This window comes from Homo sapiens, chromosome 7 (genome assembly GCF_000001405.40).
Source record: "Homo sapiens chromosome 7, GRCh38.p14 Primary Assembly".
Classification (NCBI taxonomy): Eukaryota; Metazoa; Chordata; class Mammalia; order Primates; family Hominidae; genus Homo; species Homo sapiens.
The window spans coordinates 159,236,251-159,250,612 of NC_000007.14; the positions used below are offsets into that span (position 1 = coordinate 159,236,251).

At 36.2% G+C, this 14,362-nt stretch overlaps 1 annotated feature.

Annotated features, from left to right (window-relative positions):
* Positions 6,495-6,710: a silencer, noted in NCBI's record as "fragment chr7:159035435-159035650 (GRCh37/hg19 assembly coordinates)". NCBI's record gives its function as "represses an EF-1alpha promoter that drives an FKBP-Casp9 reporter gene in an ReSE screen in K562 erythroleukemia cells {active_cell/tissue: K562}" and the evidence as "EXISTENCE:reporter gene assay evidence [ECO:0000049][PMID:32094911]".

Genomic DNA, 14,362 nt, shown 5'->3' on the forward strand with positions numbered 1-14,362 from the left:
GCAAGGCTAAGGAGCGAGAAGGTGGCCCAGTGTCCGAGGAACTAGGACGGCATGAATGAGTCACACCTGGCATGAGGGGTGGGGGTGCTGCTGTGCCACCAGAGCTTAGAACAGGAGCTTCTGGCAGTGCAGAGGCTCCCACACTCCTCTAGCGACTTGGACTCTGGGGAATCTGGATGTGTTTTCAGGAAGGCAGACTAAGGTTAGATTTGCAGATTTTTGTTTTTCAACTATTTACTTTTATATATAAAGAGAACATGCATCTGTTTCTTCTGTCTCCACTCTTAAAAGATTAACTGCTGTGGTAATGCCCTCCTGCCATCAAGAGCTAGAAAACTGAACAAAATGTATGGAGTGAGTGGTGTGCTGAACTGAAACACCTACGAGAGGCTAGCAAGGGCAGCGACCTGAGATCCCCCCTACCCAGAGGCAGCCTTCCAGACTCAGTGCAGAGACGGCGGCTCTCACAGAGCCCAGTGTCTCACTGAACTCTGGAAACACAAATCAGATGTGGGAGGCTGAGGCGGCCAGAATTGGTGGTCCAGAAAGGAGTGAGCTGCACAGAGAGAGAAGAGAGCACCTCAGGTACCTAGAGTGGAGAACACTTGAATATTTGGTTGAATGCTGAGATTTTCATGAGTGGGGTAAGACTCCAGAACCACTGCAAAGTGAAGCTAACCCCAAGGACCTCAGGGCGCAGGGAAGAGCCATTGCAGCTGGGGGAAAAATGGGGGGAAAGAGACCGTGGAGGACAGGAAAGCAAGCAGGGTCCTGACCCCTACAGATCCCCTGAGGCTGGGAGACAGGCGGGAACCTGACTCACATGCAGCTCCAAGGGTTCGTTTGCCATGGGCAGGATTACTGAAAGAGCCTCAGGCCTGCCTGAGCCTGAGGCTAAGTGAGGAGGGAGAGCAGAGCGGACAGCCCAGCTATAGCCACCAGGCCACCCAGTGCTGGATCAAAAGCAACCTCCGACTACCACTGAGGGGAGGGAGTGCACAGATCCGGGCCTGAGGGTCAGGCTCAGAGGGAAAGCCCTCCGGCAACCAGTTGCCACACTAAGCCCAAGGAAGCACTAGCAAGACTGAAGTCCATCAGGCCTGAGGGCCGCATAGCAACAACAACAGAAACAAAACTGAAAACAAATCCGTTTCAACTAAGACCCCGATGCATCCAAGCCCCACACAGAGGCCTCACAAGAGGCCCGTCTGTCCAAAGGCATAAACACCACATGCCTTAGCTTCTGCGTCCCACACATATGGTCCAGGTTTTCAACAAAAAGTACGAGATGAGAAAAGCAAGAAAATATGACAGGAAACAAAGCACAGAATTAGATCCAGATACGACCCAGGTGTTCTACTATTGGGTAAGAATTTCTAAAAATAGTGTTAGTATATTTAAAGCACTAGGAAAAGTGTGAATTTTAAACAGAGATGGAAAATATAGTAAAGAATCGGAAAGAAAAGATAGAAATTTAAAACAGTAACACAGATGAAGTGTCATCAGATGGCTCATTAGCAGACCTCACACAGCCTCTGCACCCCACCCCCCCAAAAAAGTCAGTCAAGTCACACTGAAAGACACGGCCTATGAAGAATGGAAACAGAATACTGTGGCACAACACCAACAGGCTGAAATACTTGAGATTTGAGTCCTAGAAGAAGAGAGAGTGAACAGGGCATAGGAAGTGTTTGAAGGGATAATGGATGAGAATTTTTCAAAAATAATGAAATAAACAACAGCTCTGAGAAACTTGTAGAGCACTGATAGGGATAATCACAAAACAAAACAGTAAAATTGAGACCAAAATGGAAATGAAAAACGGAGTAAATAAAGGGCAAAACAAATAGAAAACATTGAGTCAGATGACAGATTTTTAACCCAACCATATCAATAATTTCATTAAAAGGAAACGGCCGAAACAAACCAATTAAAAGACAAAGATGTTTAGATTAGACAAAAAAGCAAGGCTCAACTACGTGCTGTTTATAAGAAACCCACTTTAAATATAGAGAGATAGATATGTATATTATAAGTAAAAGGATAGCAAAAATATGTCATGCACACACTAACCAAAAGAAAACTACAGTTTCTGTACTAATATGAATAGATTTCAAACAGATACAAAGGGAGAAATTATAGTAATCAGAGTGTTAATTCAACAAGAAGATATAACATTTTAAATGTATGTACTTAACAACAAACCTTCAAAATACATAAACACGAACAAAAACTGATAGACTTGAAGGAGAAAACAGTCACATGAAAAATTCTAGACGGAGACTAAAGGTTTTTTCTCAGTAATCAATAGAACAAATAAACAGAAAATAAATCAGGATGCAGAAGACCTGAACAACACAATCAACAAAGCTGGCCCCACTGACATTTACAGAACTCTGTCCAAGAATATCAGAGTACATATTCTTCTCAAGAGCACATACAACATTCCCAAGAGAGACAAAAACAAACTGTTACAACTTTTTAAAAATTGAACTCATACAACGTATGTTTCCTGAAACAGAAATATTTCTGGAAAATTCTCAAATGTTTGGAAGTTAAATGATTCATAAAATGACCCATGGGTCAAATAAGAAGCAGAAGAAAAATTTGAGCTGAATGTTAAGGAAAACATATCCAAAATCATGGGATGCAGCTGAAATAATGCTTAGAGGGAAACAAAGGTCATTAAATGCCTATTTAGAACAGAAGAAAGGTCTTAAATCAATAAACCAACATTTCTATATAACAAACTAGAAAAGGAGACTATATTAAAAGAGCAGAAGGAAAGAAATTATAAATATAAACAGAAAACAATAGAGAAAAATCAATAAAAGCAAATGCTGATCCATTAAAAGATTAATAAAAGTGAAAAACTTCTAGCCACACTGATAGAGGGGGAGAGAAAGGAGGAGAGAGGGAGAGAGAGAGACAGAAAGAGAGAGAAGGGGAGAGAGAGAAAGAGAGAGAAGGGGAGAGAGAGAGAAAGAGAGAGAAGGGGAGAGAGAGAGAAAGAGAAGGGAGAGAGAAGGGAGACAAAGAGGAGGAAAATGACTCAATGACACAAATTATCAGTATTGGAAGAGGGGTCCTCAACCACACTACCAAAGACCTCTACAGTCATTACAGGGAAAAAAAAGGGAATGCAGTCTACAACTTTATTTCCATAAATTAGAAAATGTAGATGAAAGGGGAAATTATTTGAAAGACACTTTAAAAGAAGTAATCTGAAATCCCAAATCTATTAATGAAATTGAATTCAAAGTTAAAAACTTTCCAACAAAGAAAATTCTGTGCTTAAATGGCTTCACTACTGAATTCCACCAAACATGTAAAGAAGACATAATACAATTCTACAAAACTCTTCCACAAAAGTGGAAGAGACTGCAATATTTTCCAACTCATTTTGAGACCAGCATTACATTGATAACAAGTAGTCAAAGATATTCCAGAGTGAAAAAAACCATACTTCAATATTCCTTTTTAATGTAGACATAAAAATTGTCAAAAATATTAGCAAATCAAATCCAGCAACATATAAGATGGACAATGCATCATACCCAAGGGTGGTTTATACTGGGAATGCAAGACTGATTCAATATTCAAAAACCAATCAAAGTTATTCTCTATGTAAATAGACTAAAGAAGAAAAACCACATGAGTTCCTATAGATACAGATAAAGCATTTGACAAAATTCAATATCCATTCATAATTTAAAATAAGAAGAAAAATCTCCCAGCAAAGTAGGACTAGAAGGAAACTTCCTCAACAAAACAAGGGGCATCTACAAATGCCTGCAATGCTATAGTTAACACTGAAAGACTAAATGCTCTCATCCTAAGTTGAAGAACAAGTAAAGGATATTCACTCTCACCTCTCCAACTCAAAATCAACATTATACCATCATACTAGAAATCCTAGCCAGTTCAATATGAAAAAGTGTGTGTGTGTGGCGGGGGGAGGAGTGGAGGACAAAAATTGACACAGATTGGAATTGAAGAAATAAAACTATCTCTATAATTCACAAACTGATTAAACACTGGGAACAAATTCCTTACCAAAGAGGATATACAGATGTCAAATAAATATAGGAAAAGATGCTCAACACCATATGTCATTAGGGAATAGCAAATTAAAACAACCATGAAGTATTGCTACACACCTATTAGAATGACCTAAATCCAGAACATTGACAACACCAAATGCTAGCAAGGACATGGAGCAACAGGAACTCTCATCATTGCTGATGGGAATGCGAAGTGGCACAGCCACTGTGGAAGACAGCTTGGTGGTTTCCTACAAAACTAAACATACTCTCACCATATGATCCAGCAATCATGCTCCTTTTAATTTACCCAAATGAGTTGAAAACACACAAAAATCTGCACACAGATGTTTATAGCAGCTTTATTAATAATTACCAAAACTTGGAGGCTACCAAGATGTCCTTCAGTAAGTGAATGGATACATAAATGATGGTGCATCCAGACAGTGGAATACTACTCAGTGCTAAAAAGAAACAACCTATCAAGCCATGAAAGGACATGGAGGAACTTTAAACGCATAGTACTAAGTGAAAGAAGCCAAACTGAAAAGGCCACATATCGTTGATTCTAATGACATTCAAGATGGCATTCTGAAAAAGGCAGCTATAAAGACAGTACCAAGGTCAGTGGCTGCCACTGAGTGAGGAGAAGGAGGGATGGACAGGCAGGGCACAGGAGATTTTTAGGGCAGTGAAATGACTCTGTATGACACGATAATAGAGGATGTGTGTCATTGTACATTAACCAGACCCGTAGAATAAACAACTAGAGTGAACCCTAATGTAAACTGAGGCCTTTGGGTGACAATGATGTGTTAGTGTAGGTTCATTGATTGTAGCAAAGGCACCACTCTGGTGGTGGACACTGATAATGCAAGAGGCTATGCTTGTGCGGGGGAAGGGAGTTCATGGAACCTGAACTCCCTGTACTCCTGCTTAATTTTGCTGTGAACCTAAAACTACTCTAGAAAAATAAAGCTGATTAAAAAAGTAACCATCTCTATGCTCAGGTAGTATGATCATGATTGCCTCTTTAGGCAATTCCGAAGAATGAATAAAAATGCTCCTGAAACTAGTAAGTGTGTTCAGCAAGGTCAGACAGTACAAGGTTAATATACAAAATCAATTGTATTTCTATAATACTAGCAATTAAAACTTGGAAATGAAATTACATGTTTCAGTTTTAAACATGAAGCAATAAGAAAATATAAAAACTTAGATATAAATATAACAAAATCTTGCAAAATTTATGTGCTGAAACCTACAAAACACTGATTAAAGAAATCAAAGAAGACCTAAATAAATTGAGATACATACCATTTTCAAAGTTTGGACAACTTGATATTGTTAAAATGTTAACTTTCTCCAAACTAAACTACAGAGTCAATGGAATTACAAACAAAATTCCAGCAGGATTTTTTGGGTAAAACTTAATAATCTGATTCTAATTTTATATGGAAAGTAAGAAGAACTAGACTAACCAAAACCATTTTGGAAAATAAGAATAAAGAATAAGTTGAAAGACTTCTAGTAATCATGACAGTGTGATATCAGCAAAATTACAGACACATAGCTCAATGCATGAGAATAAACAGTTGAGAAATAGATTCACATCTGAATGGGCAAAATATTTTTTAAAGGTACATAAGCAATTCAATGAAATAAAGATTTTTTTTTCAACAAATGGTCCTGGAAAAAACTGAAAAGTCATTTTTTTAATTTTAATTTTTACTTATTTATTTTTTTGAGACGGAGTCTCATTCTGTCGCCCAGGCTGGAGTGCAATGGCACAATCTCGGCTCACTGCAACCTCCGCCTCCCGGGTTCAAGAGATTCTTCCGCCTCAGCCCACTGAGTACCTGGGATTACAGGCGCGTGCCACCATGCCTGGCTAATTTTTGTATTTTTGTAGAGACGGGGTTTCACCATGTTGGCCAGGCTGGTCTTGAACTCCTGACCTCGTGATCCACCCGCCTTAGCCTCCCAAAGTGCTGGGATTACAGGCGTGAGCCACCGCGCCCAGCCTAGTCATATGTTTTTTAAAAAGGAAAAATAAATTTCTATTTATACCTTGAGCAATATGTGGACATTAATTCAAAATTATTCATAATTCTAAATGTAAAACCTAAAACTACAAAACCTCTAGAACTACAAAACTACAAAACCACTAGAAGGAAACAGCAAAAACAAATTTAACTTGGGTTAGGCAAAGACTGCTTAGATAGGACACAAAAATCATGAGTCATAAAAGAACAAACTGATAAACTAGACTTTATCAAGATCTAAAACTTCTGCTCTTCAAAAGACACAGTTAAATAAATTAAAAGATAATGCACAGGCTGGGAGAAACTATTTGTAAAATACCTATTAACAATCTTGTGTCCTAAGAATATATAAATAATTCTTAAAACACAACAGTAAAAAACAACCTAATTTTTTTTTTTTTTTTTTTTTTTTTTGAGACGGAGTCTCGCTCTGTCCCCCAGGCTAGATAGAGTGCAGTAGAGCGATCTCGGCTCACCGCACGCTCCGCCTGCCGGGTTCACGCTATTCTCCTGCCTCAGCTTCCCGAGTAGCTGGGACTACAGGCGCCCGCCACCAAGCCCGGCTAATTTTTTGTATTTTTAGTACAGACGGGGTTTCACTGTGTTAGCCAGGATGGTCTCGATCTCCTGACCTCGTGATCCGCCCTCCTCGGCCTCCCAAAGTGCTGGGACTACAGGCGTGAGCCACTGCGCCCGGCAAAACAACCTAATTTTTTACATGAACAAAAAAATTAAATGTGCATTTCACTTAAAAGGACATATATTAATCATTAGGCAAGTACAAGTTAAAATTATAGTAATATACACCTATTAAAATATCAAAATTAAAAAACAAACAAAACACCTGCCAATACTGACAAGTATTGGCAAGTACTGACAAGGATGAATTGTAACAGGAACTCTCATACATTGCTAGTCAGAATGCAAAATGTTACAGCCCCTTTGGAAAAAAGTTTGGTAGTTTCTTATGCAGTTTAACATATACTTACCATGTGACACAGCAATTCTTCTACCACGTAAATAACCAACTGAAGTTAACTTAGGTTCACATAAAAACTTGTTCATAAATGTTTACAGAGGTTTTATTAATCATCACCCAAAATGGGAAGCAACTCAAATACCCTTCGACTGATAAATGGATAAACTGTGGTGCACCAATACAGTGGAATTCTACTTATAATAAAATTAAAGAAATACTGATATAAACAACAACATGGGTGAATCTCAAATGCTTCATTCTAAGTAATAAAAAAAAAGGCCCTAAAGGTGAAATACTCTATGATTCCATTTATATAATATCTACAATAGGCAAACTGGCAGGTATGGAAAACATCACTATTTGCCAGGGGCTGGGGATGGGGATGGGGAGGTGGTGACGACTGAGCATGAAGGACTTTTAGAGGTTAATGAAAATGTTCTGTATCTTGATACTGGTGGGGGCTACATGAAAGTGCATTTGTCAGAACACATGGAAATGTACACTAAAATAGTTTTACTTACTATAACTCAAAGTTTAAAATGTACTGTAAAAAGAAAACATTTGTCCCTATTTTTTTTAAATAAAAAATAGAAGAAATGTACCATGTAAACATTAATTTTTAAAAAACTGATAGACTATATTACTATCAAAAGTAGGCTTCAGAAAAGATAATACTATCAGGTATAAATATCAGGAGATATTTTATAATGACAAATGGATCAATTTATTAAGAAGACATATTCACACTAAATGTGTATGCACTTAACAGTGAAGTGTCAGAAGATGTGGAGCAAAATCTAATAGAACTTAAATAACAAACAACAAGTAAACAAATAGACAAGAAAATTCTCAAATCAATTGTCTAAATTCTAGCTGTAAGAAACTAGAAAAATAAGACAAACATAAGCAGAAGGAAGAAAACATAAGAAGAGAGCAGTAATCAATGAAAAGGAAATAAAACAATAGAGAAAATTAAAAACAGAAAATCCTGGATTCTCTGAAATAATCAATGAAATTGATAAATCTCTAGCCACACTGATTTAAAAAAACCCCAGCAGAAAACATAAAAAATCATCACTATCAGAAACAGTAGGGAGGACATCCCTGCAGATGTTATAGATGTAAAAGATTAATAAGGAAAAACTATAAATCTCTGGAAGCTAATAAATTTGATAATTTAAGTGGATGAATTTCTTGAAAGACACAAATTACTAAAGCTCACTTAAGAAGAAATGTAAAATTTTGATATCTCATTATCTTAGATAAAATTAAATTCACAGTAAAATATTTAAAAAAGAAAACTCTAGTCCCTGCTGACCTGACATTTAAAAAAAAATCACTTTTACACGAACCTTTCCTGAAAAGAAAAGAGAAAGGAACGCTTAACTATCTATTTTATAAGATTAGCATTATCCTAATACCAAAAGCAGATAAAAACATTTTAAGAAAACTACAAAAGCCAATATCCCTCATGAACATAGGCAAAAAGTCCTCAACAAAATCTTAGCAAATTGAATACAGCCGTATATAAAAAGGAGAAGTCAGCATGACTGAGTGGAGTTTTTCCCAGGTATGCAAGTTTGTTTTAGCCTTCAAATATCAATGAATATAATTCATCATATTAAGAGCCTAAAAATTGCAAGACAAAAACATGCAAATAATCCAAGATATGCAGAAAACATTTCTGACAAAATTCAACATCAATGAAATATAGCTGACTAGAAATAGAAGGAAATTTCCAAAATACCTACGGTTAACATTCTTTGAATAGTAAAAGATTGATTGCCTTCCTCTAAGATCAGGAGCAAGGCAAGGATATCTGCTCTCACCACTTCTATTTAACATTGTAATTGGGGTCCTAGCCAGTGCAATAAGTGAAAAAAAGAAATAACATCCTTGGAGATTGAAAAGAAATTGATTAAACTCCCTTTTTTTCACAGACAAAAGAATTGTCTACATAATATGTCTTAAAGAATCTATTTTGAGTTACTGGACTTTAAAAGTGAGTTTAGCAATGTCTTAGGATACAAGATCAAAACGCAAAAACAATTGTATTTCTACATACTATCAATAAATGCTGGAAATGAAAATTACATTAATAATACAGCTTACAATAGTATCATAAAATATGAAATACTCAAGGGTGGATTGAACAAAGTATTACAATATCTGTATACCAAAATAGCAGATATTACCAAGATAATTTAAAGACCTAAGTAAATGAAGAGAGATACCATGTCAATACATTGGAAGACTTATTGTCACAAGGTCAATTGTCCTCAAATTGATCTAAAGATTCAACAAAACCTCAATCAGAATTCCAACAGAGTTTATTGTACATATTTATAAGCTGATTATAAAATTGCATGCTAATTCAAAAGATGTAGAATAGCCAAAACAATTTTGATAAAGTACAAATTTGGAAGACTTACATTATTTAAAAAGGTATAATAAAACTGCACTAATAAAAACCATGGGACATTAGTGTAAGGATAGAGATATAGACCAATGGAACTACAGACCAGCTATAAACAAACATAATTTATTTTTGACAAAGAAGCTAAGGTAGTTTAATGGAGAAAGGATAGACTTTTCAGTACATGTTACTGGAACAATCGGACAAGAAACTGGACATCTACATGGAGAAAGAGCACAGTGACCCTCACCCTCAGACCATATACAAAGATAACTAGCTGGCCAGGCATGGTGGCTTACGCCTGTAATCCTAGCATTGTGGGAGGCTGAGGCGGTTGGATCAATTGATGTCAGGAGTTCGAGACCAGACTGGCCAACATGGTGAAACCCTGTCTCTACTAAAAGTATAAAAATTGGCCGGGCACAGTGGTGCACACCTGTAATCCCAGCTACTCAGGAGGCTGAGACAGGAGAATCACTTGAACTGGGGAGGCGAAGTTTGCAGTGAGCCGAGATCACACCATTGTACTCCAGCCTGAGTGACAGAGAGGGACTTTGTCTCAAAAAACAAAAACAAAAACAAAAACAAAAACCAACCAACCAAACAAAAAAAACACAAAGATAACTAACTGACAATGCATCACAGACATAAACAGAAAATGTAAAAAATTTTACAGGAAAAAATTTTAAAATTTCAGGAAGAAAATGTAGGAGAAAATCTTTATGACCTTGGGTTAAGCAAACATGAACCAGATATGAGATCAAAAACATGGATAACAGAAATAATTGATAAAATTGGGATTTTTCAAAATTCAAACTCCTATTCTGAAAACCCTGTTTAAAAACCCTAAAAAGTCAAAGTTCAGGTTGGAAGGAAAGTGTATTTCATAAAGGACTTGTATCCACACTATATCAATGACACCCAAAAGCCAATAATAAGATGTACAACCCAATTTTAAAATAATAGGCCAAAAATATGAACAGACACATGACCAATAGAAGACACAACATTGACAATAAAGAATAAAGCACTTGAGAAAATTTCAACATCCTTAGTCGTTTGGAAAATGCAGGTGAAAAACAATGTGATGCTATTACATAACTGCCAGGATGGCTACACAAAAAAGTGTTAAACCAAGTGTTGAAGAGGATGTGGGGAAATGGAAACTCTCATTGCTGGTGGGATACAGAATGTTACAGCCACTTTGAAAATCAGTGTAGCATGCTCTTATAAAGTTAAATGTACAGCTACTGTTTAACACAGCAGTTCTACTCTAGGTGTATGCAAAGCCTTGTACACAAATGTTCATAGCAACTTTTTTAAATAATAGTCAAACCTGGAAACAGGTAACTGCCTTTCAGTTGGGAAATGAATGAACAGATCGTGGTATATTTACACAATGCAAATAACACAACAATAAAAAGGAATGGACTACTGATACACATGACACTATGAATGATGTTGAAAACTGCTGTGTGTTATGAAGAAGAAAAAGGCAACACAATGACTGCATACTGTATGATTTCATTTTATGTGAAGCTCTAGAAAACCCAAAATATAGTGGCAGAAAGCAGATGGGTGGTTGCCTGTGGCTGGTGGTAAGAAAGGGGAAATTTTGGAGGGTGATGGAAATGTTCTCTATCTTGATAATGCTAGTGTTTATATGACTGCATACATTTTTCAAAAGTAACTGAACTACACACTTAAAATAAGAAGATGTTATTGCATGCAAGTTATACAACAATATAGCTGATTACAAAAGGAAGAATATATAATAAAATGAAAATAAACTGATAAAATAGTTCTAACAAGTTGGTACATAATCTTTCCATTGTTTTCAATAGGTACTGAATATATTGCCTTATAAGCTTTTTCACGTAATGACACACAGTGAACATCTTTCTATGTCAATAAAGTCTTCCTATACTGTCATTATAAAAGACCGCATAATAGTTCAATATGTTTGTAAAAATCATTTACCAAACTATTGTTGAATATTCAAGTAATTTTCTGTTTTTTAATGTTACAAGTTATGTTTTAGTTTCAAATATTCTAACATTAGCACAATAACTTTTGGCTAGAATTGGCTTATCATTCCACAAGCTTGATAAAAACTACAAAAAATTTTTCAGAGGACCGGTAAAAGTCCTGTTTTGATCATGACCTGACTCGTAGATTTCAAAGTGATTCAAATGAGATTACAGAGAACTATGCCTGCCAATAGAAGAGATATTTTTGGGGGCAGCTAAATTTTTACCTACTTCTGTGGCCAACCGAGTAGAAGTGGTATCTTCAAGCTATGATTATGAATGCAAACCCGACAGAGGTTTATACACAAACATTGCACCAAGAATCATTCTTTTGGTTTTGATATAGTACTATGGTACACAGGACCTCTCTGTACTATCTTTGCAACTTCCTGTGAATCTATACCAATACAGAAAGTAAAAAATAGGCAAAGAATAAGAAATATAAAAATTGCCAACAGGTATATGAAAAAATTGCTAATCATTAGAGAGATGCAAATTAAAACTACAATAAGAAGTACATCATACCTGTTAGAATGGCTATTATCAAAAAGACAAAAGATAAGTCTTGGTGAGGATGTGGAGAAAAGGGAACCCTTGAATGTTATAGGTGGAAATTAGTATAGCCATTATGAAAAACTGTATAAAGTTTCCTTAGAAAAACAAAAATAGAAATACCATATGATCCAGCAATCCCATATCTGGCCATATATTCAAAGGGATTGAAATCAATATCTTGAAGAGATGGCTGCACTGTCATGTTCATTGCAGCACTATTCACAATAGCCAAGATAAAGAATTAGCCTGTGTCCATCAACAGACGAATGGATAGAGAAAAGGTGGTATATATGCATAATGGAATACTATCCAGCCTTAAAAAAGAAAGAAAGTCCATCACATGCAACAATATGGATAAGCCTGCAGGACATATGCTAAGTCAAATAAGCCAGTCACAGAAAGACAAATATTTCATAATCTCACTTATATGCGGAGTCCAAAACAGTCAAACTCAGAAGCAGAGAACAGAGTGATGTTTACCTGGGGCTGGGGTGGGAGTTGAGGAGATGTTGGTCAAAGGGGTCAAGTTTCAATTAGAGAAGAGGGATCAGTTTTTGAGATCTACTGCACAGTATGGTGACCCTAGTTAATAATAATGTATTGTATATTTCAAAATTCCTAATAGGGTAAATTTCAAATGTTCTCACCACAAGAATAAGTATATGAGGTGATAGATATGTTAATCAGCTTGATGTAGTCATTCCACATTGGGTACATATATCATAACATCCATTGTACTCCATAAATATACACAATTATAGTTTGTCATTAAAATTAAATAACAAATTTAAAAAGTAATCAATAATTCAAAAATGTATAAAAGAAAAATAGATAAACAATTATTAAGAAAAAATCTAAGCATTCTATGTTCAGTTCAGATCTCTGGAAACTCTACTCAAGAGTTCTTACTTTCACTGAAATTTGTTACATATTAAATGAGTTCTGTTCAAGTGAAAGCACTTATTGATCATTTTGTTTCAAGACGTTCAACTTATTCAAATGGCGATGTTCAGATATGTGCCTGTGTTTGTTTTCAGATTGGGACTCAATAGCCTGTTGCATGGAACAGCTTGTCTCCTCTCATCTGATTCTCACGATAATCCCAAGAGGCAAGTAACATGCTTATTACCAGGTTGCAGATGGGGAAATTATTCACTTAAGAAAAAAATTCTACACCATTCTAATTTCTATACAAATCTGGGATGTATTCAGGCCATTTTCAGTCAAATTCCATTCAAAGCACATATTATCTTTTAGGGAATGAATTCAGACAATTTCAGTTCTTGTGGCTCAAAGAAAGGGTTTATTTTGGCTTTGTGTGATCCTGACATCTCTGCAGTGGCGTTTACTACATGCTACATTACACATACTTAAACCAACACTGCAATTAGCTGGATGCTGCTCTTTCTTCCCAAGACAAAGGTCAATTTTGAACTTGCCGTAAAGCAGAAAGTTAGGTGGCTTCAGATCATTCTGTTCAGCAAATTCCAGGAAGCATGGACTTTCCAGCTGCCAGACAGAGATAAATTGGAAAGTTGCACATAATCCTATAATTCAGTTGACTTCTCAGAGACAGAAATGGAAAAATTTGAATAGCCAGCCCCAAGATTCTGAGGCTCTGGCTGCCGGATCCCAAATCCTCGGCTGCTCTTTGCTCCTGGCACATGAGAGAAAGTAGTGACCACGCAAACGACGCTCCCACAAGACATCAACATTGTCTGTGGGAACTGGAGGCAAGACCCCATTTTCCCCAAGAGATTCAATATCTACTCACGTCATATGTTTTCTTTATAAGATAAATCATAGCTCACGATCACACTAGAGGGTATCTTTATCTTGTATATTTATGGATTGTTTACATGGCAAATCTGGAGAAGCCTAGGGTAGGTGGCTTAATGCATTTGCTACATCCACTTTTTTAGAAAAACAGAGACAGCTAATGTTCACAACAGAGAAGAGCTACACACAAAAACATTTTAATTCTTCAGTTTACAAGTGTTCTCATTGAGGTCTTTTCCTTTGATAAGGGGAATTAGCATTTACATGTTAGCTGAGCCTCACTTCTGGTATAAAAACAAGATTTTGGTAATTCAAATTATGTTTTTATTTATCAAAGACAGAGTTTTACTTAAACAAATGAAAACATAGCAGTCAAATATGACAGATTTTCTAGCTTTATATTACCACTGTAAACATTAATTTTCAATGCAAGTTGTGTTTGGCAAACACAAGGGAAAAGTATTCCAACAAAGCTGTGGAATAATTAAACCTGCATGTGGACTCTCTTGTGAACT